At 42.8% G+C, this 24,490-nt stretch overlaps 1 protein-coding gene across 22 annotated transcripts in view, besides 2 other annotated features; it reads left to right on the forward strand.

Moving 5' to 3' along the window:
* Positions 6,689 to 6,848: an enhancer, noted in NCBI's record as "active region_9973". NCBI's record gives its function as "activates an Ori minimal core promoter by ATAC-STARR-seq in GM12878 lymphoblastoid cells {active_cell/tissue: GM12878}" and the evidence as "EXISTENCE:reporter gene assay evidence [ECO:0000049][PMID:35858748]".
* SH3GL3 (SH3 domain containing GRB2 like 3, endophilin A3) overlaps positions 6,993 to 24,490 on the forward strand; it is a 186,480-nt gene continuing 168,982 nt past the window's right edge. For all 22 annotated transcript variants that reach the window (XR_007064483.1, XR_007064484.1, NR_136711.2 and 19 more), the window contains exon 1: positions 6,993 to 7,230. Coding sequence is in view for 2 of the 22 variants with exons in the window: in NM_001324182.2 (NP_001311111.1) it covers positions 7,186 to 7,230 (45 nt within the window). In the remaining 20 variants the exon portion in view is untranslated. The remainder of the gene's footprint in view (positions 7,231 to 24,490) is intronic.
* Positions 15,582 to 16,186: an enhancer, noted in NCBI's record as "NANOG-H3K27ac-H3K4me1 hESC enhancer chr15:84124682-84125286 (GRCh37/hg19 assembly coordinates)". NCBI's record gives its function as "activates a minimal SCP1, AML or CMV promoter by ChIP-STARR-seq in primed H9 embryonic stem cells {active_cell/tissue: H9 hESC(primed)}" and the evidence as "EXISTENCE:reporter gene assay evidence [ECO:0000049][PMID:30033119]".

Raw genomic sequence — 24,490 nt, forward strand, 5'->3', positions numbered from 1 at the left:
AGAGAGAGAAAGCTAGACGTAGAGAGGTCATGGTTAAGCTAACATTTTAAGGTTAATAGAAGGCATCAGTATTTGAACTTGGCTCTCCGAGGTCTGCCAGGCACTGCAATCTGGAGCGTGTATTAGGCTACAGGTTGATGAGTTGTTGTTGTTGTTTTTGTTTGTTTTTTGTGTTTTTTTTTTTTTGAGACAGGTCTCACTCTGTTGCCCAGGCTGGAGTGCAGTAGTGCAATCTCAGCTCACTGCAAACTCCACCTCCCAGGTTCAAGTGATTCTCCCACCTCAGCCTCTGAGTAGCTGGGACTACAGGTGTGCACCACCACGCCCGGCTAATTTTTTGTATTTTTGGTAGAGACGGGGTTTTGCCCTGTTGCCCAGGCTAGTCTCCAACTCGTGGCCTCAAGTGATCCACCCGCATTGGCTTCCCAAAGTGCACTGGGATTACAGGTGTGAGCCATTGCGCCTGGCCAGTGAATTTTTTAATGACATTAAATTCAATTCAAGGCAAGTGGAAGACACAAATCCCATATCCATGTTTCTTTGCCTCGTTTCTCCTCCTCCCGCCTTTTTTTTTTTTTTTTTTTTTTTTTTACAAGATGCTTCTCTAATGACTGTGTATCATGGGAGCAATGAAAACTGCATTTTACATACATATATATAGTATTTAGAATTGTTCAAATTCTTTGATGCACTAATTTTACATCTCAGAGTGGAGTCCATCCTAAGGAAAGTCCATTCCTAAATATAGAAAGAAAACTTTAATATGGAAAAAGATGTTTAATGTGGCATTATTTAAATCAGGAAAAATATGGGGGGTGGGAACCTTTACATGTGTATTAATGGAAAATAATCAAATATAATTTGATATATCTACAATGGTTTAAGTTGTCATTAAAATGTTGTGTGTGAAGACTAGACAATATAGGAAATGCTCAGTTAACTAAGAGAACAAAGAAAATACAGTATGCATAGTCATGTCACTGTTATGCTTAAATTTTACAGGAAAAATACTCTACAAGAAAAATATACCAAAATATTAAGAGTGATTGTTTCAAATATGATTCCAAAGGTAGTTTTTCCATCCTTTTATTTTTTGATGATTTCCAAATTTCCTCTAAATGTTATTGTATAATAGAAAATATATACTTATGAAAATATTTTGAATTTCAAACAGTTTCACAATTCTTTTATCTCAAAACTTGTTTTTAAATTCTCGTCACTCCATCTTTGCCCCCGTGTCTTAAAACCAACACTCTGCACCCTAGTCTCCCCCTGGTTCATTTGCTGTTTCAGAAAAAAGGTACTGGGCCCATTCTGGTCTCTGCCTGAGGGTTCTCATATGGAGCAGGAGGTGGTCTGAGTAGAAGGAGGTGATGAGGTGGCCCTAGTGGATGTGCTCTGACCATGGCTCATTCTAGTCATGCCGTGGCTTCCATAAAGTGTTTAATTATTGATGCTGATAGAGAATATAAATTCAAATATATTTTAGGTCAGTGGTAATCACTCATTGAGTAAAAATTAGATGAATAATTTCCAAAAGCAAAGAGGAAGAAAAAGCAAAGAAAATCTGAGTAATAGATAGATAATAATGATAGAAGAAAGAACTATGGCTGGGCATGATGGCTTATGCCTATAATCCCAACATTTTGGGAGGCCAAGGCAGGAGAATCACTCGGGCCCAGGAGTTTGAGACCAGCCTGGGCAACATAGTGAGACCCCATTGTACAAAAAAAAAAAAAAAAATCAGCTTGGTGTGGTGGCATGTGCCTGTGGTCCCAGCTACCTGGGAGGGAGAGGTGGGAGGATCACGTGAGCCCAGGTTGTGACTTCAGTGAGCCATGATTGTGCTATTGCACTCCAGAGCCTGGGTAACAGAGCAAGACCCTGTCTCAAAACAACAACACAACAACAACAACAACAACAACAAAAACCCAAAAAAAACCCAAAAAGGAACTATGTAGAAGAAAAATAATAACATACCACACAATGACAATTTTTCTTTTTGTAATAAATATAAATGCTTAAATCTCTCTAGGAAACGGCAAAGACATATTTTGGTCCAGAAACAAAATTAAATTTTACTCTGTTTATAGCAGCACGTGTCTACAACAAAATGAAAGGCCAAAAGACCAATTAAGACATAAGAAGCACATATACACAAAAAGTAAGGATACAAATATGGGTATGTGGCAAAGTAAAATAGAAGGCAAAAAGCTGTAAGTAGGACAAAATATGTTTTTTTCTACAGATAAAAGAAAAAATCGACAAGGAAGATATGACAATAATAAATACCTATAAACAGAATACCATAGCACTGAAATGTTTAGAACAAAAGTCCCAAATATAAGACGCAACAGACATAATCACAATTGTAGCAAGAGATTGTAGAGTAGAATATAGTACCTCTCTTTGACGAATAAAGTAGAAAAATATGTAATCCCAGCACTTTGGGAGGCCGAGGCGGGCGGATCACGAGGTCAGGAGATCGAGACCATCCTGGCTAACATGGTGAAACTCCGTCTCTACTAAAAATACAAAAAATTAGCTGGGCACGGTGGCGGGCGCCTGTAGTCCCAGCTACTCGGGAGGCTGAGGCAGGAGAATGGTGTGAACCCAGGAGGCAGAGCTTGCAGTGAACCGAGATAGCGCAACTGCACTCCAGCCTGGGCGAAAGAGCGAGACTCCATCTCAAAAAAAAAAAAAAAAAAAAAAAAAGAAAAATATTGGAACACAGAGCATTTGAACATGCTCATACCTGATTTATGAGATATATGATGGGATATTTTGAACATTAATAAGCATGCTTCCCTCCCCTTCTAACCCCTACCCAGAATTCTTCTGCCCCCCAACAATGCCCCCCAGATAGATATGAGTCACTTGCTACAGAACCAGACACAAGGAATGCAAATACTCATTAGACTCAAAAGCTGGCCTGGAGGTGAGTCAAAGGCCACAAGAAAAAGAGCATAGGCCAGGAGCAGTGGTTCACGCCTGTAATCCCAGCACTTTGGGAAGCTGAGGTGGGCTGATTGCCTCAGCTCCGGAAAACCCCGTCTCTACTAAAATACAAAAAAAAAATTAGCTGGGCATGGTGGTGCATGCCTGTAGTCTCAGCTACTTGGGAGGCTGAGGCAGGAGAATCACCTGAACCCAGGAGGTGGAGGTTGCAGTGAGCCAAGTTTGTGCCACCTCATTCCAGCCTGGGCGACAGAGCGAGACTCCATCTCCAAAAAAAAGAAAAGAAAAAAAGAAAAAGAGCTTAAGAGAACACTGAAACCTCTGCCAGAACATGGGCCATCTGGCAGAGTGCCAGAGACAACCACAGTGTCCCTCTTGTCATTGACTTGTGAAGACCACCAAATGCCCAAAAATCCTTCAGTTCAGAGGGATGTGTGTCAGTGCCTCAGGACACTTCCCAGTCCCCATCAATTTCATTCCATATGTAGACAAATCTGTCAAACAGTCCAGGACACTTGTATACACTTGTACCCCCCTTCCCTAAACAGAGGAGCTGTGGGCCCTTAGTGATTGAAGGGTGATGGTGACGTGAAGGGGAAAGCCTTGAGCTGGCCAAGGGGGCTCTAGCTAGCATGAGTTGGAAATCTTCCTCTGAGCTAGAAGCTGTGTAGAATACACACTCTTGTTACAGATGAACTAAAAAACTGTACATTAGAAACACAAAATGAACAGTATTTCAAACCTCTATGATATGTGTTTACAATGAAACATGACAGGCTATGTTTAAAAAAAACCTTTCAAGACATGTTATTTGACGATAGTATCACAAGTCTAGAATTTAACATAGAATAAATTTTAAAAAATCAAACCACCTAGAAAAGGTTTTTTTTTTTTTTTTTTTTTTTTTAAACAGAGTCTCACTCTGTCGCCCAGGCTAGAGGGCAGTGGCACCATCTTGGCTCACTGCAACCACCACCTCCTGAGTTCAAGTGATTCTCCTGCCTCTGCCTCCAGAGTAGCTGGGACTACAGGCATGCACCACCATGACCAGCTAATTTTTTTAATTTTTTTTATTTTTGAGACTGAGTCTCACTCTGTCGCCCAGGCTGGAGTGCAGTGGTGCGATCTTGGCGCACTGCAAGCTCCGCCTCCCAGGTTCATGCCATTCTCCTGCCTCAGCCTCCCGAGTAGCTGGGATTACAGGTGCCCGCCACCACGCCTGGCTAATTTTTTGTACTTTTTAGTAGAGATGGGGTTTCACCGTGTTAGCCAGGATGGTCTCGCTCTCCTGACCTCGTGATCTGCCTGCCTCGGCTTCCCAACGTGCTGGGATTATAGGCGTGAGCCACCATGCCCAGCCTAGAAAAGCTTTTTAAAAAATTATCCTGAATAACATTTGGATCAAAGAGGAACTCAAAACTGTAATGACAAGTTTTATTTAGAAAATAGGAGATCCATATCATTCATGAAAACAAGGTATGAAACCAAAGCCATACTCAGGAGGAAAATTTATAGTTTTATAAAAATAAATAAAAGACATGAGATTAAGGATACCCAAATACACTTTAATGGGCATTTGTTGTTGCTTATATATATTATTTTTATATATATTCTCTAATATATATTATATATTCTCTAACATGGTATATATTAAAGAATGTATATATTATATATATATAATATATGATATAATATATATATATATAAAATTTGGCTGCCTAACCTCTGAAGCTTCCTCCTATAGTAGGGAAATCTGCCATGGAGTGAATCCACCAATCAGATGCTGCCCTTGCTACTATGCAGCTGGAGTGACTGCCTGAAAGGGCAGCCTTCATTCTGGTAGCCATGGCCAGGGCTCAGTGGCAGAGCCAGCATATCCCAATCAAGCTGTTCCTGGACACCCTGTGGATCTCAGTGCTCAGATTCCTAATTCCTGCTCATCCCCTCCACCTTGTTCCCTACACCCCTCCTGTGAATCTCCAGGCTGCCTGACATCCTTCTCCAATACATATTTTCCAGCTTATGTTAGCTAGAGTCAGTTTCTATTGTTAAAACCCTCAAACTCTCACTAGTCTTCTGAACAAAAGTGAAGGAAGGAATGTGTAAGAATAATGAAAGAAAAATCAATGAGAGAGAAAAATCTGTAGCAATGATGAGTACCTTCAAAAATATTTTGAAAGACCAATAAAATCAGCAAACCTCCAATAAATCTATTCACTGAAAAAATTAAGACAAATCACAAAAACTTTTACAAAGGAGAAAATGTATATGAAAGATTCTGAAGTTTAAAAAGTATGATCTTCAACTCTATACTTGATTAATGAAGGAGATAAATTACCAAAATCAACTGAAGTGAGAAACTTGAATGTACTAACGACTGTGGAGGAAATGCCAATAAACTGTTTGAAAAAAAAGCACCCCCCTCCTCCCAAAGGGCACAGAGCCGGATTGGTCTAGGGGGAGGTACCATAGAACCGGTGCTATTTAAACCTCTCTGGAGCATGGAGAAAGAGGAAGCTGAGCAGCCCTGAATAGCCTAGGACAAGAGAGACCTGCCAATCCTGGACTCCAGCTGCAGCTGGCTCTCTGCCTTATGTAGTGGTTGGCCTGCGGTGAAGCCCACTGTTGAGAGGCATTTGAACTGTTGTATGGACAGGTCATCTTGCTACGCCATTCTGACCCAGCTGTCACCACCCTCACACTTTTTAGTTATCTATCAGTGGCTGGTGTCAGGCAGGTAAGCCCACAACACTCACCCAAGTCATGCTCATTAACCCTCTGACTGGCTGCCCTTATCCCACGATCTCCACTAAGTTCAAGCATTTTTTCCCCAGTATCAGAGGAGGAACACTGTTTATTCCAGTCTACATGCTTCAAGTAGAAGTGAGGAAACCAAGGCCCAGAGAGGTGTGTACTTACTTGCCCAGTCCTCACTAGGATGAAGTCAGGGTTAGGACTAGCCCCGACTGGGCGCTGGGAGCTAACAGCTAGGGGAGGAACTGCATGACTTTTGTCCTGGAGAAATGTTATGGCAGGTGGACACCAGGGCACAGGCATATACCCGAAGTGTCCAGGGCAGACAGGGACTGCTCGTCACCCCAGATGGGACCTGCTAAGGGCCCAAAAAGAGACTGAAGGTGGGAAATGTTTTTGTTTTTCAGTGTGAAGCGTTGCCAAACATATATTCTAGGTTTGGGAATCCTCGGGACCTTTGGAAGCCAGATTCAGCGAAGATGCTGTACCTTTTGGGGATAGCTCTAACACGAGGTTAACGCAATGCTCCATGTCCCTGGCTGGGCTTAGCTGTGAGTGCGTCGACCTCTGGACTCTGTGCAAATGGACACTCTGTAACTGACACAGCTGGTAGGGGTTACCGAGAGAGCTGGGTTCCTGGTCTGGTGGACTCCGCCGGATATGCAACGAGCTCTTTATGGCACCTTGGAGATGGTTGCTTTTAGTGCCGTTGACAGCGGGCTCAGAGCACCAAGTGAGCTAGCACCGTATTTATTAGTAAATTACTCCATAACTCTAGGGCTCCCAGAAGACCAAAATCATTTGAGCAGATTGCACCCAGAGCACCGCGTGGAGAGAGAAGAAAGCCCGCCACCCACAGACCGCTTCCTCCTACCACAGGTCCCCCATCGAGTTGCATTTGTTGTCCCTCCCTAGGCGCATTTCTGAGCCTTCCTTTCTTAAACATACACCGAGCGAAAATGCGCCGGAGGGAGGCGATGTTGCCTGTGAGCCAAAGCCGGTTCGGCACCAAGACAGAAGCAGAGAGAACTGATCTCTCTCCCGGTACCCATGACAATCTCAGAGCTAGATCTATATCGTCCCGCGCCCAGCAAGAAGCACTGTGTGACTGTACTCCCCCGACCCCCAGGACATCCCCACGCCCAGCTTCCCAGGCCGGTCTTCTGCGCGGCTCAAGTAGCCCAGGTCTCCACGCAACAATGAAGCGTGGGCGGCCCCAGCAGCTTCATTTGCATATCGCCGCGGCTTGGCCAATGGGCTGCGCAGGGGCTTTGGAACGCAGTGTTGCCATCGGCGTGCGCGCGTGTGTGCGAGTGTGACAGCGGCTGTGGCTGTGGCCGTGGCCGTGGGAGGCGGGCCCGGCGGAGCCCAGCCGCGGGGGGACCGGCCCGGGCTCCCGCTCCCCGAGCGCGTCGCGGCCGCGTGGCCCAGCCGAGCCTTGAGACCACCCCGCCCCTGCCGGTCGCAGTCGCGATGTCGGTGGCCGGGCTGAAGAAGCAGTTCCACAAAGCCAGCCAGGTAGGGAGGCGCAGAGGAGGGAAGGAGGGAGGGGGACGCGGAGGCTGCGGCCCCCCGAGGCTCCCGGGCCTTTGGGACTCCTGTTCCCTGAAGGGCCTCTCTCGGGGCTCAATTTCTTCCCGCCTAGGAGGGCGCGAGGGTGGGGTGAGGGGCCGCCTGCTCTCTCCTCGGCGTCTTGGCGCCTTCTCCTTCCCATTCCCTGGCCCCCGGCTCTGCCCTGGGCCGTTGTAAATCGGAGAGATTCTGCGGAGCGGAGGGCAGAGGTGGCGGCCGCGGGGACTCGGGAGGCGGAGACGGAGTGGGCGTGGGGGGGCCCCTACCCGCGCGAGGGGAGGACGACCACAGGGAGTACGATGCCGGCAGGGCCTCCCCCGAGTCTCCAGCCGTTTGGTTGGGAGAGCCTCGTGGGGGGCCCATCCTCCACCGGCCACCGGCGCCTCCAGAGATGCTGTGTATTTGGCGCTTGGCTGTGTCCCGCTGAGCTCCCCGCGCGCGCATCGAAATGGCCCCGTCTGGACTGTGCCCGGCTCCCCGGCTGGGGCTCTCTACCGCGGTCCTTCCCCTCCCCACCGTCTTCCCGGTGTCGGCCCGGGGCTGGGCATCACGCTTCTGCTCTTACAGAGCTGACAGCCTGCAGGGGAGACACGGAGACAGACACGTAAACAAACAGTGCTAGACACACCTCCACGCACAGAGGATGACAAATAACACAGTGGGGGCGTCAGGGAGAGCTTCCCGGAGGAGGAGACATGTCATTTGAGAATTAAGTATGAGGAAGAATTATGGCTGAGGGTGTGGGATGATAGGAGGAAAGCCGTTCTGAGCAGAGGAAACAGGAAAACAGGAGGGGAGACATGAAATTGATGTGTGTGTGTGTGTGTGTGTGTGTGTGTGTGTGTGTGTTGATGACAAGCAAATTTGTTTTTCAACATCAACATTGCAGGCTCTTCCAGCTATGGCAGAGCTCACGTTGTAAAACCTGTTCCCCACCAGCACCGCTGGGTCTGTTGCTTCTCACCACCTCTCCCCGCAACCCCAGCCCCCATTTTGCTAGAGCCAGGGTAGACAGATTTCATTCAACGTCCACATTTGTGGTGAGGTCTCATCCTGCTTCTCCCACAAATTGGCCCATAGAAAGCAACTGCAATTAGAAGATTCTCTTCTTCTAGCCCCAGTTCCAGGCTGAAAGGCACTGCTGTCCCCTCACTCACACTCTTTCCATATGGAAACTGGGTGATGCTGTTTCTAGCTGGGGGCACTGGGTGGACAGTGGTGCTATTCAAGGTGTTAAGGAGCCCTGGAGGAGAGGCTATTCAGGTGAGGGTGGAGATGATGGATTCACCACTGAACCCAGGGACTTTGAGGGGTCTTTGGGACATTCACATGTCACTGGCCTGGGTTGGGGTGCATATCCTGACCTGCAGCTCAGGGGGTGAGGCTGGTACTGGAGCTACAGATTTTTGGTGATTTCCAGCCTAAGCGGAGATTTAAAAATGTATGTGTAGACAAAAGTGAGAAAAGGCACAGCGAGTTAAAGGCAGACTCTAGACAGCACCCCCATTTAGGGACAATGTTTAGCCCAGTAATTGTTGAGCAGTGACCACTCAATAAATATTTATTGAATAGATGAAATTTTGGGGTGGCACAACACAGGAAAGAAAGAACTCGTAGATGACAGGAGAGAGAAGACCATCATGGAAGGGGGACATTTAAAGGCAGGAGCAATCAACAAGTGCTTCAGTGAGCTAGGTATTGTGGAGTGTCCTCAGCTGGTACAGCCAGGAGGCCGAGTGCTGCTGTGAGCAGAGCAGAGCAGAGCAGTGCCAGAGTAATCGCTGGCTGTACTTGTTACATTGGCTTCCTTAGCACTGGCAGGAAATGAACCTCCTCTTTTGAAAACTTTTCCTTTATTGGGTATGGACTTCACAGGGGCAAATCTCAAAGATAAGCAAATCTCAGAGATAACGTAAGCCCTTGGGTGATTTAAGTTGGTTTCTGACAGTAACCAGAATGAATGGTTGAAATCCTTGGAAGTTATTGGCACTGGAGAAATATTTTGCTAGTCATGGGTAGTTTGGTTTAACTACCTGTAATCAGTACATTAAAAATGAAATGAACAGAACGTCTTATTTAGTCTTTTTTTTTTTTTTTTTCGCATGAGCGGAAATAATTTATGACTTTACCTGAAAGGAGAGGCATCACAGATTCTCTCTGGGCTTCATAGCCATGTTTTGTGGTTAAAAGTACTCAGTAGATATGTTTTAATATGTTCTAGAAGTCTTTCTAAAAAATCTTGCAATGCAACAATTTGGTGGAGAAATCAGACCGGTTTAATATAATATGAGGGAGCTCAATAATAAAAAATGCCAGATGTTTTTCTCAGACAACATTTTAACAGCAGGTTTTAATTCATACAGAACTTACCTGGGGCAGGGGAAGGGAGCCCCAGATGATGTCAATGGCTAAAATAATTTCCAGGGATCTAGGTCTGGCTCAGCCACTGACCAGCTCTGTAACCTTGGGAACATAACTTAACCCATCTGGACCTTGGTTTCTATCTGTATGATGACTCAGGGAATTTAGAAGCTATGTTTCTGTTATAAAAATGATTGTGGCAATGGTTTCACAACTCTGTGAATATGCTGAAAACCACTGAATTGTACACTTTAAGAGAATTGTATGGTATGTGAAATATATCTCAATAAAGTGATACGAATATGTCTCTGTGTCTCTGGGTGTGTGTGTATGTATACATCTCAGTGCTGAAATTCTTAAGTAAGTTAAGCATTTCAGAGTAAGACAAAGATGATAAAGTGGACCTTTTACAGAGAAGGGATCCAGGACCATGGCAAACTGAGATAGTTTTCTGAAAGATAAGCGAGGTAAAATTAGCTATAACCCGGTTAACTGTTCCTTTTTTCCTGATACCTTCCCTATCTCTGGGAAAAAACCCCTACTTTACAGAGAATGAAGACTCGTAAACCCTGGGGATTATGCATCATTTTGGCAGCACATGGAGACCAACAGGAAAGAGGAAGAAATATGCTAAAATGAGAAGAATATAAGTTAACAAAAAAATTTAATTAATTCTAAGTTTCAGCGTTTGAGACTAGAACCCAAATTTTTCTTTTTTTTTTTTTTTCTAATATGCATTATCCTTTATTAAAATGGGATATTTTTCTTTTTTTTTTTTTTTAAGGTTATAGATTTTCTTTTTTTTTTTTAATTTTTTTTTTTCTATTATACTCTAAGTTTTAGGGTACATGTGCACATTGTGCAGGTTAGTTACATATGTATACATGTGCCATGCTGGTGCGCTGCACCCACTAAAGTGTCATCTAGCATTAGGTATATCTCCCAATGCTATCCCTCCCCCCTCCCCCGACCCCACCACAGTCTCCAGAGTGTGTTATTCCCCTTCCTGTGTCCATGTGATCTCATTGTTCAATTCCCACCTATGAGTGAGAATATGCGGTGTTTGGTTTTTTGTTCTTGCGATAGTTTACTGAGAATGATGATTTCCAATTTCATCCATGTCCCTACAAAGGACATGAACTCATCATTTTTTATGGCTGCATAGTATTCCATGGTGTATATGTGCCACATTTTCTTAATCCAGTCTATCATTGTTGGACATTTGGGTTGGTTCCAAGTCTTTGCTATTGTGAATAGTGCCGCAATAAACATACGTGTGCATGTGTCTTTATAGCAGCATGATTTATAGTCCTTTGGGTATATACCCAGTAATGGGATGGCTGGGTCAAATGGTATTTCTAGTTCTAGATCCCTGAGGAATCGCCACACTGACTTCCACAATGGTTGAACTAGTTTACAGTCCCACCAACAGTGTAAAAGTGTTCCTATTTCTCCACATCCTCTCCAGCACCTGTTGTTTCCTGACTTTTTAATGATTGCCATTCTAACTGGTGTGAGATGATATCTCATAGTGGTTTTGATTTGCATTTCTCTGATGGCCAGTGATGGTGAGCATTTCTTCATGTGTTTTTTGGCTGCATAAATGTCTTCTTTTGAGAAGTGTCTGTTCATGTCCTTCGCCCACTTTTTGATGGGGTTCTTTGTTTTTTTCTTGTAAATTTGTTTGAGTTCATTGTAGATTCTGGATATTAGCCCTTTGTCAGATGAGTAGGTTGCGAAAATTTTCTCCCATGTTGTAGGTTGCCTGTTCACTCTGATGGTAGTTTCTTTTGCTGTGCAGAAGCTCTTGAGTTTAATTAGATCCCATTTGTCAATTTTGGCTTTTGTTGCCATTGCTTTTGGTGTTTTGGACATGAAGTCCTTGCCCACGCCTATGTCCTGAATGGTAATGCCTAGATTTTCTTCTAGGGTTTTTATGGTTTTAGGTCTAACGTTTAAATCTTTAATCCATCTTGAATTGATTTTTGTATAAGGTGTAAGGAAGGGATCCAGTTTCAGCTTTCTACATATGGCTAGCCAGTTTTCCCAGCACCATTTATTAAATAGGGAATCCTTTCCCCATTGCTTGTTTTTCTCAGGTTTGTCAAAGATCAGATAGTTGTAGATATGCGGCATTATTTCTGAGGGCTCTGTTCTGTTCCATTGATCTATATCTCTGTTTTGGTACCAGTACCATGCTGTTTTGGTTACTGTAGCCTTGTAGTATAGTTTGAAGTCAGGTAGTGTGATGCCTCCAGCTTTGTTCTTTTGGCTTAGGATTGACTTGGCGATGCGGGCTCTTTTTTGGTTCCATATGAACTTTAAAGTAGTTTTTTCCAATTCTGTGAAGAAAGTCATTGGTAGCTTGATGGGGATGGCATTGAATCTGTAAATTACCTTGGGCAGTATGGCCATTTTCACGATATTGATTCTTGCTACCCATGAGCATGGAATGTTCTTCCATTTGTTTGTGTCCTCTTTTATTTCCTTGAGCAGTGGTTTGTAGTTCTCCTTGAAGAGGTCCTTCACATCCCTTGTAAGTTGGATTCCTAGGTATTTTATTCTCTTTGAAGCAATTGTGAATGGGAGTTCACTCATGATTTGGCTCTCTGTTTGTCTGTTGTTGGTGTATAAGAATGCTTGTGATTTTTGTACATTGATTTTGTATCCTGAGACTTTGCTGAAGTTGCTTATCAGCTTAAGGAGATTTTGGGCTGAGACGATGGGGTTTTCTAGATAAACAATCATGTCGTTTGCAAACAGGGACAATTTGACTTCCTCTTTTCCTAATTGAATACCCTTTATTTCCTTCTCCTGCCTGATTGCCCTGGCCAGAACTTCCAACACTATGTTGAATAGGAGCGGTGAGAGAGGGCATCCCTGTCTTTTGCCAGTTTTCAAAGGGAATGCTTCCAGTTTTTGCCCATTCAGTATGATATTGGCTGTGGGTTTGTCATAGATAGCTCTTATTATTTTGAAATACGTCCCATCAATACCTAATTTATTGAGAGTTTTTAGCATGAAGGTTGTTGAATTTTGTCAAAGGCTTTTTCTGCATCTATTGAGATAATCATGTGGTTTTTGTCTTTGGCTCTGTTTATATGCTGGATTACATTTATTGATTTGCGTATATTGAACCAGCCTTGCATCCCAGGGATGAAGCCCACTTGATCATGGTGGATAAGCTTTTTGATGTGCTGCTGGATTCGGTTTGCCAGTATTTTATTGAGGATTTTTGCATCAATGTTCATCAAGGATATTGGTCTAAAATTCTCTTTTTTGGTTGTGTCTCTGCCCGGCTTTGGTATCAGAATGATGCTGGCCTCATAAAATGAGTTAGGGAGGATTCCCTCTTTTTCTATTGATTGGAATAGTTTCAGAAGGAATGGTACCAGTTCCTCCTTGTACCTCTGGTAGAATTCGGCTGTGAATCCATCTGGTCCTGGACTCTTTTTGGTTGGTAAACTACTGATTATTGCCACAATTTCAGAGCCTGTTATTGGTCTATTCAGAGATTCAACTTCTTCCTGGTTTAGTCTTGGGAGAGTGTATGTGTCGAGGAATGTATCCATTTCTTCTAGATTTTCTGATTTATTTGCGTAGAGGTGTTTGTAGTATTCTCTGATGGTAGTTTGTATTTCTGTGGGATCGGTGGTGATATCCCCTTTATCATTTTTTATTGTGTCTATTTGATTCTTCTCTCTTTTTTTCTTTATTAGTCTTGCTAGCGGTCTATCAATTTTGTTGATCCTTTCAAAAAACCAGCTCCTGGATTCATTGATTTTTTGAAGGGTTTTTTGTGTCTCTATTTCCTTCAGTTCTGCTCTGATTTTAGTTATTTCTTGCCTTCTGCTAGCTTTTGAATGTGTTTGCTCTTGCTTTTCTAGTTCTTTTAATTGTGATGTTAGGGTGTCAATTTTGGATCTTTCCTGCTTTCTCTTGTAGGCATTTAGTGCTATAAATTTCCCTCTACACACTGCTTTGAATGCGTCCCAGAGATTCTGGTATGTGGTGTCTTTGTTCTCGTTGGTTTCAAAGAACATCTTTATTTCTGCCTTCATTTCGTTATGTACCCAGTAGTCATTCAGGAGCAGGTTGTTCAGTTTCCATGTAGTTGAGCGGCTTTGAGTGAGATTCTTAATCCTGAGTTCTAGTTTGATTGCACTGTGGTCTGAGAGATAGTTTGTTATAATTTCTGTTCTTTTACATTTGCTGAGGAGAGCTTTACTTCCAACTATGTGGTCAATTTTGGAATAGGTGTGGTGTGGTGCTGAAAAAAATGTATATTCTGTTGATTTGGGGTGGAGAGTTCTGTAGATGTCTATTAGGTCTGCTTGGTGCAGAGCTGAGTTCAATTCCTGGGTATCCTTGTTGACTTTCTGTCTCGTTGATCTGTCTAATGTTGACAGTGGGGTGTTAAAGTCTCCCATTATTAATGTGTGGGAGTCTAAGTCTCTTTGTAGGTCACTCAGGACTTGCTTTATGAATCTGGGTGCTCCTGTATTGGGTGCATAAATATTTAGGATAGTTAGCTCCTCTTGTTGAATTGATCCCTTTACCATTATGTAATGGCCTTCTTTGTCTCTTTTGATCTTTGTTGGTTTAAAGTCTGTTTTATCAGAGACTAGGATTGCAACCCCTGCCTTTTTTTGTTTTCCATTGGCTTGGTAGATCTTCCTCCATCCTTTTATTTTGAGCCTATGTGTGTCTCTGCACGTGAGATGGGTTTCCTGAATACAGCACACTGATGGGTCTTGACTCTTTATCCAACTTGCCAGTCTGTGTCTTTTAATTGCAGAATTTAGTCCATTTATATTTAAAGTTAATATTGTTATGTGTGAATTTGATCCTGTCATTATGATGTTAGCTGGTGATTTTGCTCATTAGTTGATGCAGTTTCTTCCTAGTCTCGATGGTCTTTACATTTTGGCATGATTTTGCAGCGGCTGGTACCGGTTGTTCCTTTCCATGTTTAGCGCTTCCTTCAGGAGCTCTTTTAGGGCAGGCCTGGTGGTGACAAAATCTCTCAGCATTTGCTTGTCTATAAAGTATTTTATTTCTCCTTCACTTATGAAGCTTAGTTTGGCTGGATATGAAATTCTGGGTTGAAAATTCTTTTCTTTAAGAATGTTGAATATTGGCCCCCACTCTCTTCTGGCCTGTAGGGTTTCTGCCGAGAGATCCGCTGTTAGTCTGATGGGCTTTCCTTTGAGGGTAACCCGACCTTTCTCTCTGGCTGCCCTTAACATTTTTTCCTTCATTTCAACTTTGGTGAATCTGACAATTATGTGTCTTGGAGTTGCTCTTCTCGAGGAGTATCTTTGTGGCGTTCTCTGTATTTCCTGAATCTGAACGTTGGCCTGCCTTGCTAGATTGGGGAAGTTCTCCCGGATAATATCCTGCAGAGTGTTTTCCAACTTGGTTCCATTCTCCACATCACTTTCAGGTACACCAATCAGACGTAGATTTGGTCTTTTCACATAGTCCCATATTTCTTGGAGGCTTTGCTCATTTCTTTTTATTCTTTTTTCTCTAAACTTCCCTTCTCGCTTCATTTCATTCATTTCATCTTCCATTGCTGATACCCTTTCTTCCAGTTGATCGCATCGGCTCCTGAGGCTTCTGCATTCTTCACGTAGTTCTCGAGCCTTGGTTTTCAGCTCCATCAGCTCCTTTAAGCACTTCTCTGTATTGGTTATTCTAGTTATACATTCTTCTAAATTTTTTTCAAAGTTTTCAACTTCTTTGCCTTTGGTTTGAATGTCCTCCCGTAGCTCAGAGTAATTTGATCGTCTGAAGCCTTCTTCTCTCAGCTCGTCAAAATCATTCTCCATCCAGCTTTGTTCTGTTGCTGGTGAGGAACTGCGTTCCTTTGGAGGAGGAGAGGCGCTCTGCGTTTTAGAGTTTCCAGTTTTTCTGTTCTGTTTTTTCCCCATCTTTGTGGTTTTATCTACTTTTGGTCTTTGATGATGGTGATGTACAGATGGGTTTTCGGTGTAGATGTCCTTTCTGGTTGTTAGTTTTCCTTCTAACAGACAGGACCCTCAGCTGCAGGTCTGTTGGAATACCCTGCCATGTGAGATGTCAGTGTGCCCCTGATGGGGGGTGCCTCCCAGTTAGGCTGCTCGGGGGTCAGGGGTCAGGGACCCACTTGAGGAGGCAGTCTGCCCGTTCTCAGATCTCCAGCTGCGTGCTGGGAGAACCACTGCTCTCTTCAAAGCTGTCAGACAGGGACACTTAAGTCTGCAGAGGTTACTGCTGTCTTTTTGTTTGTCTGTGCCCTGCCCCCAGAGGTGGAGCCTACAGAGGCAGGCAGGCCTCCTTGAGCTGTGGTGGGCTCCACCCAGTTCGAGCTTCCCGGCTGCTTTGTTTACCTAATCAAGCCTGGGCAATGGCGGGCCCCCCTCCCCCAGCCTCGTTGCCACCTTGCAGTTTGATCTCAGACTGCTGTGCTAGCAATCAGCGCGATTCCGTGGGCGTAGGACCCTCTGAGCCAGGTGTGGGATATAGTCTCGTGGTGCGCCGTTTCTTAAGCCGGTCTGAAAAGCGCAATATTCCGGTGGGAGTGACCCGATTTTCCAGGTGCGTCCGTCACCCCTTTCTTTGACTCGGAAAGGGAACTCCCTGACCCCTTGCGCTTCCCAGGTGAGGCAATGCCTCGCCCTGCTTCGGCTCGCGCACGGTGCGCACACACACTGGCCTGCGCCCACTGTCTGGCACTCCCTAGTGAGATGAACCCGGTACCTCAGATGGAAATGCAGAAATCACCCGTCTTCTGCGTCGCTCACGCTGGGAGCTGTAGACCGGAGCTGTTCCTATTCGGCCATCTTGGCTCCTCCCCTCAGAACCCAAATTTTTCAAGTGCATAGTTAAATATTTTTTCTCTTGACAAGATTTTTTTGATAGAGCTGTTTACTCTTCTGGTAGAGATGTAGCTTGAGCTATTATAAATAAATACAAATAGCATAGATATGGCATTGTGGTTTCTTGTTAAACGTGGTACCTCACCAATAAAAATATAGCTTACAATATTTACATTTGTGTTACCACTCACTGATTTGTATTTGTATGCTTATTTCATAGTAATTTTTCTTGACAGCATTTATTGTTGAAGAAGGAAGTTCAGGGCACACCTATGTGTGTTCTGACCTGGAAAGTACTAATAGTCATATTCTTTCCATTTCTGGACCTTCTTGTCTTCCAGGGTCCTTGTTCTGCATCCCATAAAAGTCCAGGGACCAGTTTCATCTCTTCTCCTCCTCTCCTTCTCTCCCAAGACTAACCATCTACTGATGACACTTGTGGGCTCCATGTTAAATTTACTTCTTTATGCCTTTTAACTTCTGTCATGTGACTCAGCAACACATGCCAGAGGTTAAAGGACACTGCTTGTAGGGCAGAAAGAAGGGGAGCCTCTAACACAGTGCTTTTTTACAACTTTTCCCCCTTTCTCTTTTAATGCATTAGCCAGAAAAATGATAAGGGGTCATGAGGGGCCTGGACGTATTCCCTGTAATCACTGACTATACAGGCTGGCCATTTAGGGGTAAATGCTTCAGAGAAGGATATTCTTTGTAAATCATGAGATTCTCTAGGGAGGCAATGAATGTCTCTTGTTTCACTATCTCATTAGAGAGAAAGATAAAATGCACTTTGCACAATCCATAATGATTTATTTTTTTCTCTTAGACGCATCAGAAAATATATTAAAGCTAAAACATTCTTGCTCCTTTTCACATAGATTGCTTGATAAACTAATTGATAAATCCTTTTTTTTAAAGTCAGGGTGTGAAGATAGATGTTTAAAATGGATTGATTTTGATTTTTTAAAATATCTTAAGGATATAATACAATCCATATATTTCTTACCACTGAGGACTTTTTGTTCTATAAAGTAAATGTAACTCATGGTATCACTTGGAATTTGATTTAAAAATGCATTTGAAAGCAGGGATTTTTTTCCCTATTGCTTTAGTTTAATTTTTCAGCTTTATTAACAAACGGAATGTAAATTAATTTCCCAAAGTTAAGTGTGTGTGTGGGTATCTCATGTGTATTTGGGGAAGCTATTACTGGCATGCTTTGCCCAGAAGATAGAACTGTCAGTAAACAACTGACACACTGTTCGGCTAAATAGTGAACATATTCTGGAGAATCTTTAGCAGCAAAATGTGGACAGTTAGATTTTGCTTTTCAACAGAAACCTGGGAAAGTGTTGAGCTGAGGGGAGAGTCTGAGAGAAGTACTATTGATGAGATCAGGGAGGCATTGTTTCCAGTTCTAACTATTCTAGTTCTTTGAAATGCTTTCCCAATGGGAATTCCTTCCCAATTTCCAGGGTCATCCCAATGTTTTTACCACACACAGCACCAGCAGCCAGTGGCCTTCCTGAGCCAGGTGTTGTTCCTTCTGACTTCCAAATCCAGTGGATAATGGTGTCTTTTCCCCGTCCCTGGCTACATCTTCCTCAGACAGTAATGCTACTAAGTACTTTGCCTGTTCAAATCATCCATCCGTGGTAGAGGCTGCTGATATTTCAGGCTGGATAACTTGAGTCCTCCCTAGTGAATCTGATATCCGAGTCAAATCTTCTCATCCTTGTCCACCTTTCTTTCTTCTGGGCCACAAATCAAAACTCTGGAGGGTCTTGTGAGCTCATATGTAGTGCTTCAGTGCTTCTCCAGTGCAACAGTGGAAGACACACCTGGCTAGTCACACCATTGTGCTTCCAATCCCATCTCCTCTCATTTTCTCAGGGACTTTGCTCTTGTTGCCATCTCTTCTCTGCACTATTGTTTCTTCTCTCCTGGATAAATTTCACTGTAGGACAAAGAAGGGTGTATTAGTCAGGGTTCTCTAGAGGGATAGGACTAATAGGTTAGATGTATATATGAAAGGGAGTTTATTAAGGAGTATTGACTCACACGATCACAAGGTGAAGTCCCACAATAGGTTATCTGCAAGCTGAGGAGCAAGGAAGCCAGACTGAGTCCCCAAACCTCAAAAGTAGGGAAGCTGACAGTGCAGCCTTCAGTCTGGGCCGAAGGCCCGAGAGCCCCTGGCAAACCACTGGTTTAAGTCCAAGAGTCCAAAAGCTGAAGAACTTGGAGTCCAATGTTCGAGGGCAGGAAGCATCCAGCACGGGAGAAAGATGAAGGCCAGGAGACTCGGCCAGTCTAGTCTTTCCACATTCTTCTGCCTGGTTTATTCTAGCTGCGCTGTCGGCTGATTAGATGGTGTCCACCCAGATTGAGGGTGGGTCTGCCTCTCCCAGTCCACTGGCTCAAATGTTAATCTCCTTTAGCAACACCCTTACAGACACACCCAGAAACAGTACTTTGCATTCTTCAATCCAATCAAGTTGACACTCAACGTTAGCCATCACACTAGGGTTTAAGAAAATGATGGCAGGTCTAAGCGAGTCATGGAGGGTTTATGAAAGATGGGTCTTGGAAAGGGAGTTTTGTGTATAATTGGGTTGGCTGGGATTCCGGAAAGGAATTTCAGAATTTAGCCCTGGTTTCAGGGATACACTGATGCAGGACCAGAGCAACAAGATTTTCTCAGAATATTGATCTACGCCTAGTAAAAACTTGCAAGAGGATTTGATTTTAATTCTGAAATCGATTTCTTTATACTTTCAACCTTCTTCTGAACTACAGCTTTTTCATGTTATACAGTTTCTGCCTAATTTCAAATTGAAAGTGCTGCCTTCTTCATTTAAAATGATAATTTCATTTCTTGAGATAGAGTTTTGCTCTTAAAGCTTTCCAGAGTCATATCTCAAGAGTTCAGCTTTTTGCCACGTCTCACGACATACAATTTGCAGGTCATGCATCATTGCCTTCTGCTCTTCTTCCTTCTCTCCTTGAAAAGGTACATTTTCTTTTTAACTGGAGTGGTGACTCTCACTCTCAACTTTTTCATCAGTTCCTGTGGCTGTTTCCCCCCCACCCCCAGTTCTCACCCTGTTATTGTGACCTTCCCTTTCCCCTTTCCCTTTCCCTCTCCCCTCCCCTCCCGTCCCCTCCCCTCCCTCCCTCCCTCCCTCCCTCCCTCCCTGCCTCCCTCCCTCCCTTCCTTCCTTCCTTCCTTCCTTCCTTGCTTCCTTCCTTCCTTCCTTCCTTGACAGGGTCTTGCTGTGTCACCCAGGCTGGAGTGCAGTCATGTGTTCATAGCTCACTGCAGCCTTGACCTCCTGGGCTCAAAGGATCCTCTCACTTTAGTGTCCTAAGTAGCTGAGATTAAAGACGGATGCTGCCACACCTGGCTTTGGCTTTTCTTGATGTGTCTAAATTGTTCCATGTAACCAGGCAATTTCATGTGTCTTTAATTTTTCTAAAAGCCATGCATTCCACTGCTCAAGGTACTGGTTTCCTTGTTTACATTATTCTTCTATAATGTGGTATATACTCATGACCTTCGACACATACTTTTCCAGTGTCTAATTGAATTCAAATACTGTTTCATCAGGTTCGACTTACAGTTTATCTAAATGAGATTCCCAAAGGAAGAAGTACTCATACCGTAGGAGGTTTTTCTTTGCCTTTTCAGTAAATGGCCTGGGAAACAGAACTTTCATGTTTTATTAAGAATTTATGGTGCTTTGTGCTGTCTTTATTAGCTTTTTGATTATTTAGAAAAACTGCATCATCTTTAATAAGTGATGTTCATCTTTAAAAAATTATATGTGTGCGGATGTGTTTATATGAATATTCTAAAAACTACGTAAACTGTATAAGAGTCTGATGGTCTTGGTATGATGCTGTAAATCATGATTCTGGTTGTTATCTTAAAATACGGTACACAGGCCGGGTGCGGTGGCTTACACCTGTAATCCCAGCACTTTGGGAGGCCGTGGCAGGCAGATCCCGAGGTCAGGAGATCGAGACCAGCCAGACCAACATGGTGAAACCCCGTCTCTACTAAAATACAGAAAATTAGCTGGGCGTGGTGGCGGGCACCTGTATTCCCAGCTACTCAGGAGGCTGAGGCAGGAGAATGGTGTGAACCCGGGAGGCGGAGCTTGTAGTGAGCCGAGATCACGCCACTGCACTTCAGCCTGGGCGACAGAGCGAGACTCCATCTCAAAAAAAAAAAAAAGTACTGTACACAATAGAAGTAACTAAATTTCCTTGTTAATTGTTTGTTACAATGAATTCTCATCAAATTTTTAACCACAGCTATTCTAAATTTTTGTCATCCACAGTTTTGATTTTTCTCATAAAGTCATCTGCAGTCAGATTCATGGAAAAGACTCTAATAAGTAGCCTTGAATACATGTTTCTGATAACTTAAAAATCAATGGATTAAGTACAAATTTCCAAAAGTCTAATTAAAATAACTGACATATTCATGAAACTGCTAACCAAGATCAAACAGAGCAACAGTTAATTACATGGGACTAAACTGATAATGGATTATAATTTTTATGACTTTTATTTAAAATATTGCTAATTCTTTAATATTTTATTTTCCAGATTTAAGGAAACTTTTTTCTTAAGGTACCTATAGCAATTTGGTTATGTATACTCTTGTGAATAATATTAAAATGTTTGCTTTTTCTCCCTATCTTATCTCTCTAAAATTAAAAAAAACTATTCGTGAGTATTTTTTATTTTATGACAATGTATTTACATAATTTTGATAAAAATTTATTTTTTAAATAACAAGATACAATTTAAAATGTTAATTATATTAGCAAGGTTTGACTTAGACATCATATTTAAAAATTCTTGTAGGTACTTCGGATACAATCTGAAGCCCACCTTGATTTGGCCTTCTTGCTTCAGAAGTTAAAAAAAAAAGTTCAATCTGAGATTCAATCACTATTCTCACTGTACTTATGTAAATACTCAGGACAAATCTGATAAAACTAACTTATTTTACATACAAATTAGTCTTGCTCTGAGTACTTTGGTAAAATTGGGATGACAGTGATATACCCTTTATTAGATTGTAGTCTTGTGAGTTGTTTTCAGGTTTTATTATATACTTGTAGAAGGGACTGGATCTTAAATTCTTCTAGGTTCCTCTAATCCAATTTTCTCCTATGGAATTTTTAAATAGAATTACTAACAATGGAAACCATTCTTTTCTAAAGCGCTGTAAGCTAAAACTAAACATCTTAATATAAATTACAAGGGACAAGCCTTGTGCCTGATATGTGGGCCACACAGAAAGTTCACCAAACCGCCTGATGCCATAGTCAGAGGCATTCAGACTGCAAAACTGCTGACTTCACACTGTGGACAGTGTTTCCCAAGGCCGTTGGAACAAGACATCATAATGAGATTCTTACCCCTTGTAATGCCTCCCTTCTTCACTTGACAGGATAATGCCATAATTAAAATTTCACAATCAGTAACAATTATGAGTAACTTAACAAAAGCTGATCTAAGAAATCCCTTAGTCCACTTATTGAGTAGCTTTGGCAATATCCCTAACAACTTTTTGTTCATATTGTACTAGTGGGCCCTTTTACAGAGTTAGCACTGTCTGCTTTAATTTAACCCAGTCATGGAATACTACCCAATGGCTATGCCAAGTCTTACCCAGTTTCTCCATGGTCTTTTGATTTGTTTAGTTGATTGCCCTTAGGCTTGGCAGAACTATTGCATAAACTAGATTTGTCATACTCCTGTTGTTTTTACTTTGTATTTTCCTTTTAAAAATATGTACCTGATGTCTGTCAAATTTCTGCAGAAATGCAACTTCTAATAGAGTAATGTTTGTCTAGTGTCTTAAAATGATAGCCAACATCAATGGAACAGACAAAAATCAAACTTGATGACATCCAGACAAACAAAGCCTGAGAGCTTCTCCTTATGGCCTTCTTGTTGCTCAAATGTGGCTAAAATGGCTTGATACTGACTTCCAGCTGATAATCACCTGCCCCTGATGTTGTATAAGAATATCTATCCAGGACAGGTCCATCCTAGCACCCAGGGATATTCAAAACCTGAATACAGGCTGATCAATCTTTCTCCAAAGAAAGATCTTGATTAAAAGGGGGAAACGTGAAAGTTGCAGATATGAGGATAAAGTCAGTTCTGTCAGACTCAAATTTGAGTCAGGGAAGCATGAAGGGGAAGGGCTCATGCTTGCATATCCGAGATAAGGCTATCTCAAGGACTTTCTAAAATAACTCCACAAGAAATTCCTTCACAGCTTTCACATATCTCATTCTTTTCATGACTTAACGTTCTGCACATATGCATACATTTCTAGGACCAGGTTTATCATTAGACATTCTTTAGAACTGTAGCAATTCAGATAAGATGCTCTTGAAAGAACCCTTGCCTAGTAATGGCATCTCCACCAATGAACTGACGCTGACTCTGGCTTTGAGCTTCTGGAAAAAATGAACTCTTTCCAAGCAGCTTACATGAGCTTATCCTTTTTGTCAATAAAAGCTTCCTCTTACCATCTCCTCTTTGGGTGTATCTGTGGCTTTACTATAGCTGTGCTATGGTGAGATTACATTATAGTAAGGTTATATTATAGTCTGGGCAGATTATAATATAGTATAATTTGTGCCCAGATTATAGTTCTTTTTACTTACTCTTGGAAAAATACATTAAATTAGGAGATAATTTTCTCTGATGTCTTTTTTAGCTTGATGCCATCAGCATGCAGACATCCTCTCTAGTATCTCCTGTCTTGAAAAAGGAAAGGAGGAAAACCTCCTTTGATCTTAGGTCCCTCTTCACCCCTGTCCTATTTAAATATTTGAGGAAGTTATTTGTTGTCCCATGTCTGCTTTCTTTCTTTCTTTTTTTTTTTTTTTTTTTGAGACAGAGTCTTGCTCTGTCACCCAGGCTGGAGTGCAGTGGCACGATATTGGCTCACTGCAACCTCTGCCTCCCGGGTTCAAGCGATTCTCCAGCCTCAGCCTCCCTAGTAGTTGAGACTACAGTTGTGCGCCACTGGCTAATTTTGTATTTTTAGTAGAGATGGGGTTTCACCATGTTGGCCAGGCTGGTCTCAAACTCCTGACCTCAGGTGATCCGCCCGCCTCGGCCTCCCAAAGTGCTGGGATTACAGGCCTGAGCCACCGCGCCAGGCCCTCTGCTTTCTTATCTATTGTCTTCTCAACCTATTCAAATTGGCTTTCTTTTCTTGTGCTCTGAGACCATGCTTGCCTAGGTCTTGAGTGACCTCCACATTGTCAAATCTCATGGTCACTTCTCCATCTGAGCTCTCAACAGCATTTGACCCAGTGGACTATTCTCTGCTTACAACACCTTCTGTACTTGCTCAGATTTCCTCTGGAATCACTAGCTGTTCCTTCAGGTGTCTTTTAATGGGTCCTTCTCATGCCCTTGACTGTAAATCCTGGAATACCCCAGGCCCTGGCTTGGGTACTTTCTCTTTTCTAACTTTGCATGCTCCCAAGGTAGCTTCCTCAGCTGCAGATTTACACAAAATCTATACATTGATTTCTCTCTAAATTATATTTCTAGCCCAGATGCTTCTCCTGGATACAGACACACAAATCTAAGTGCCTGCATCACCTCTCTCCTTGGATATTTAAAAAATCTCAAATTTAAGATGTTCAAATGTGAACTCTTAATTATCTCTACCCCAAACTGTTTTTCTACTTGTGATCTCTTAAGCAAAACAAAACAAACCAAAGTAAAACAAAAACCAGGACTCATCCTTGACATTTCTTTCCCTTATTCCCAATTCATCAGCAAGCCTTTCCTCTTGGTTCTACTTTCAAAATACAACCGTTTGCTTTTCTCCATCTCTGCTACTATCACCTTGGTCCTGGCCATCATTTCTTGCCCCCATGATTGTAGTAGCCTCCTAACCAATTTCCAGACCAGCTACAATTCATTTG

The sequence above is a fragment of the Homo sapiens genome, chromosome 15, assembly GCF_000001405.40.
Source record: "Homo sapiens chromosome 15, GRCh38.p14 Primary Assembly".
NCBI lineage: Eukaryota > Metazoa > Chordata > Mammalia > Primates > Hominidae > Homo > Homo sapiens.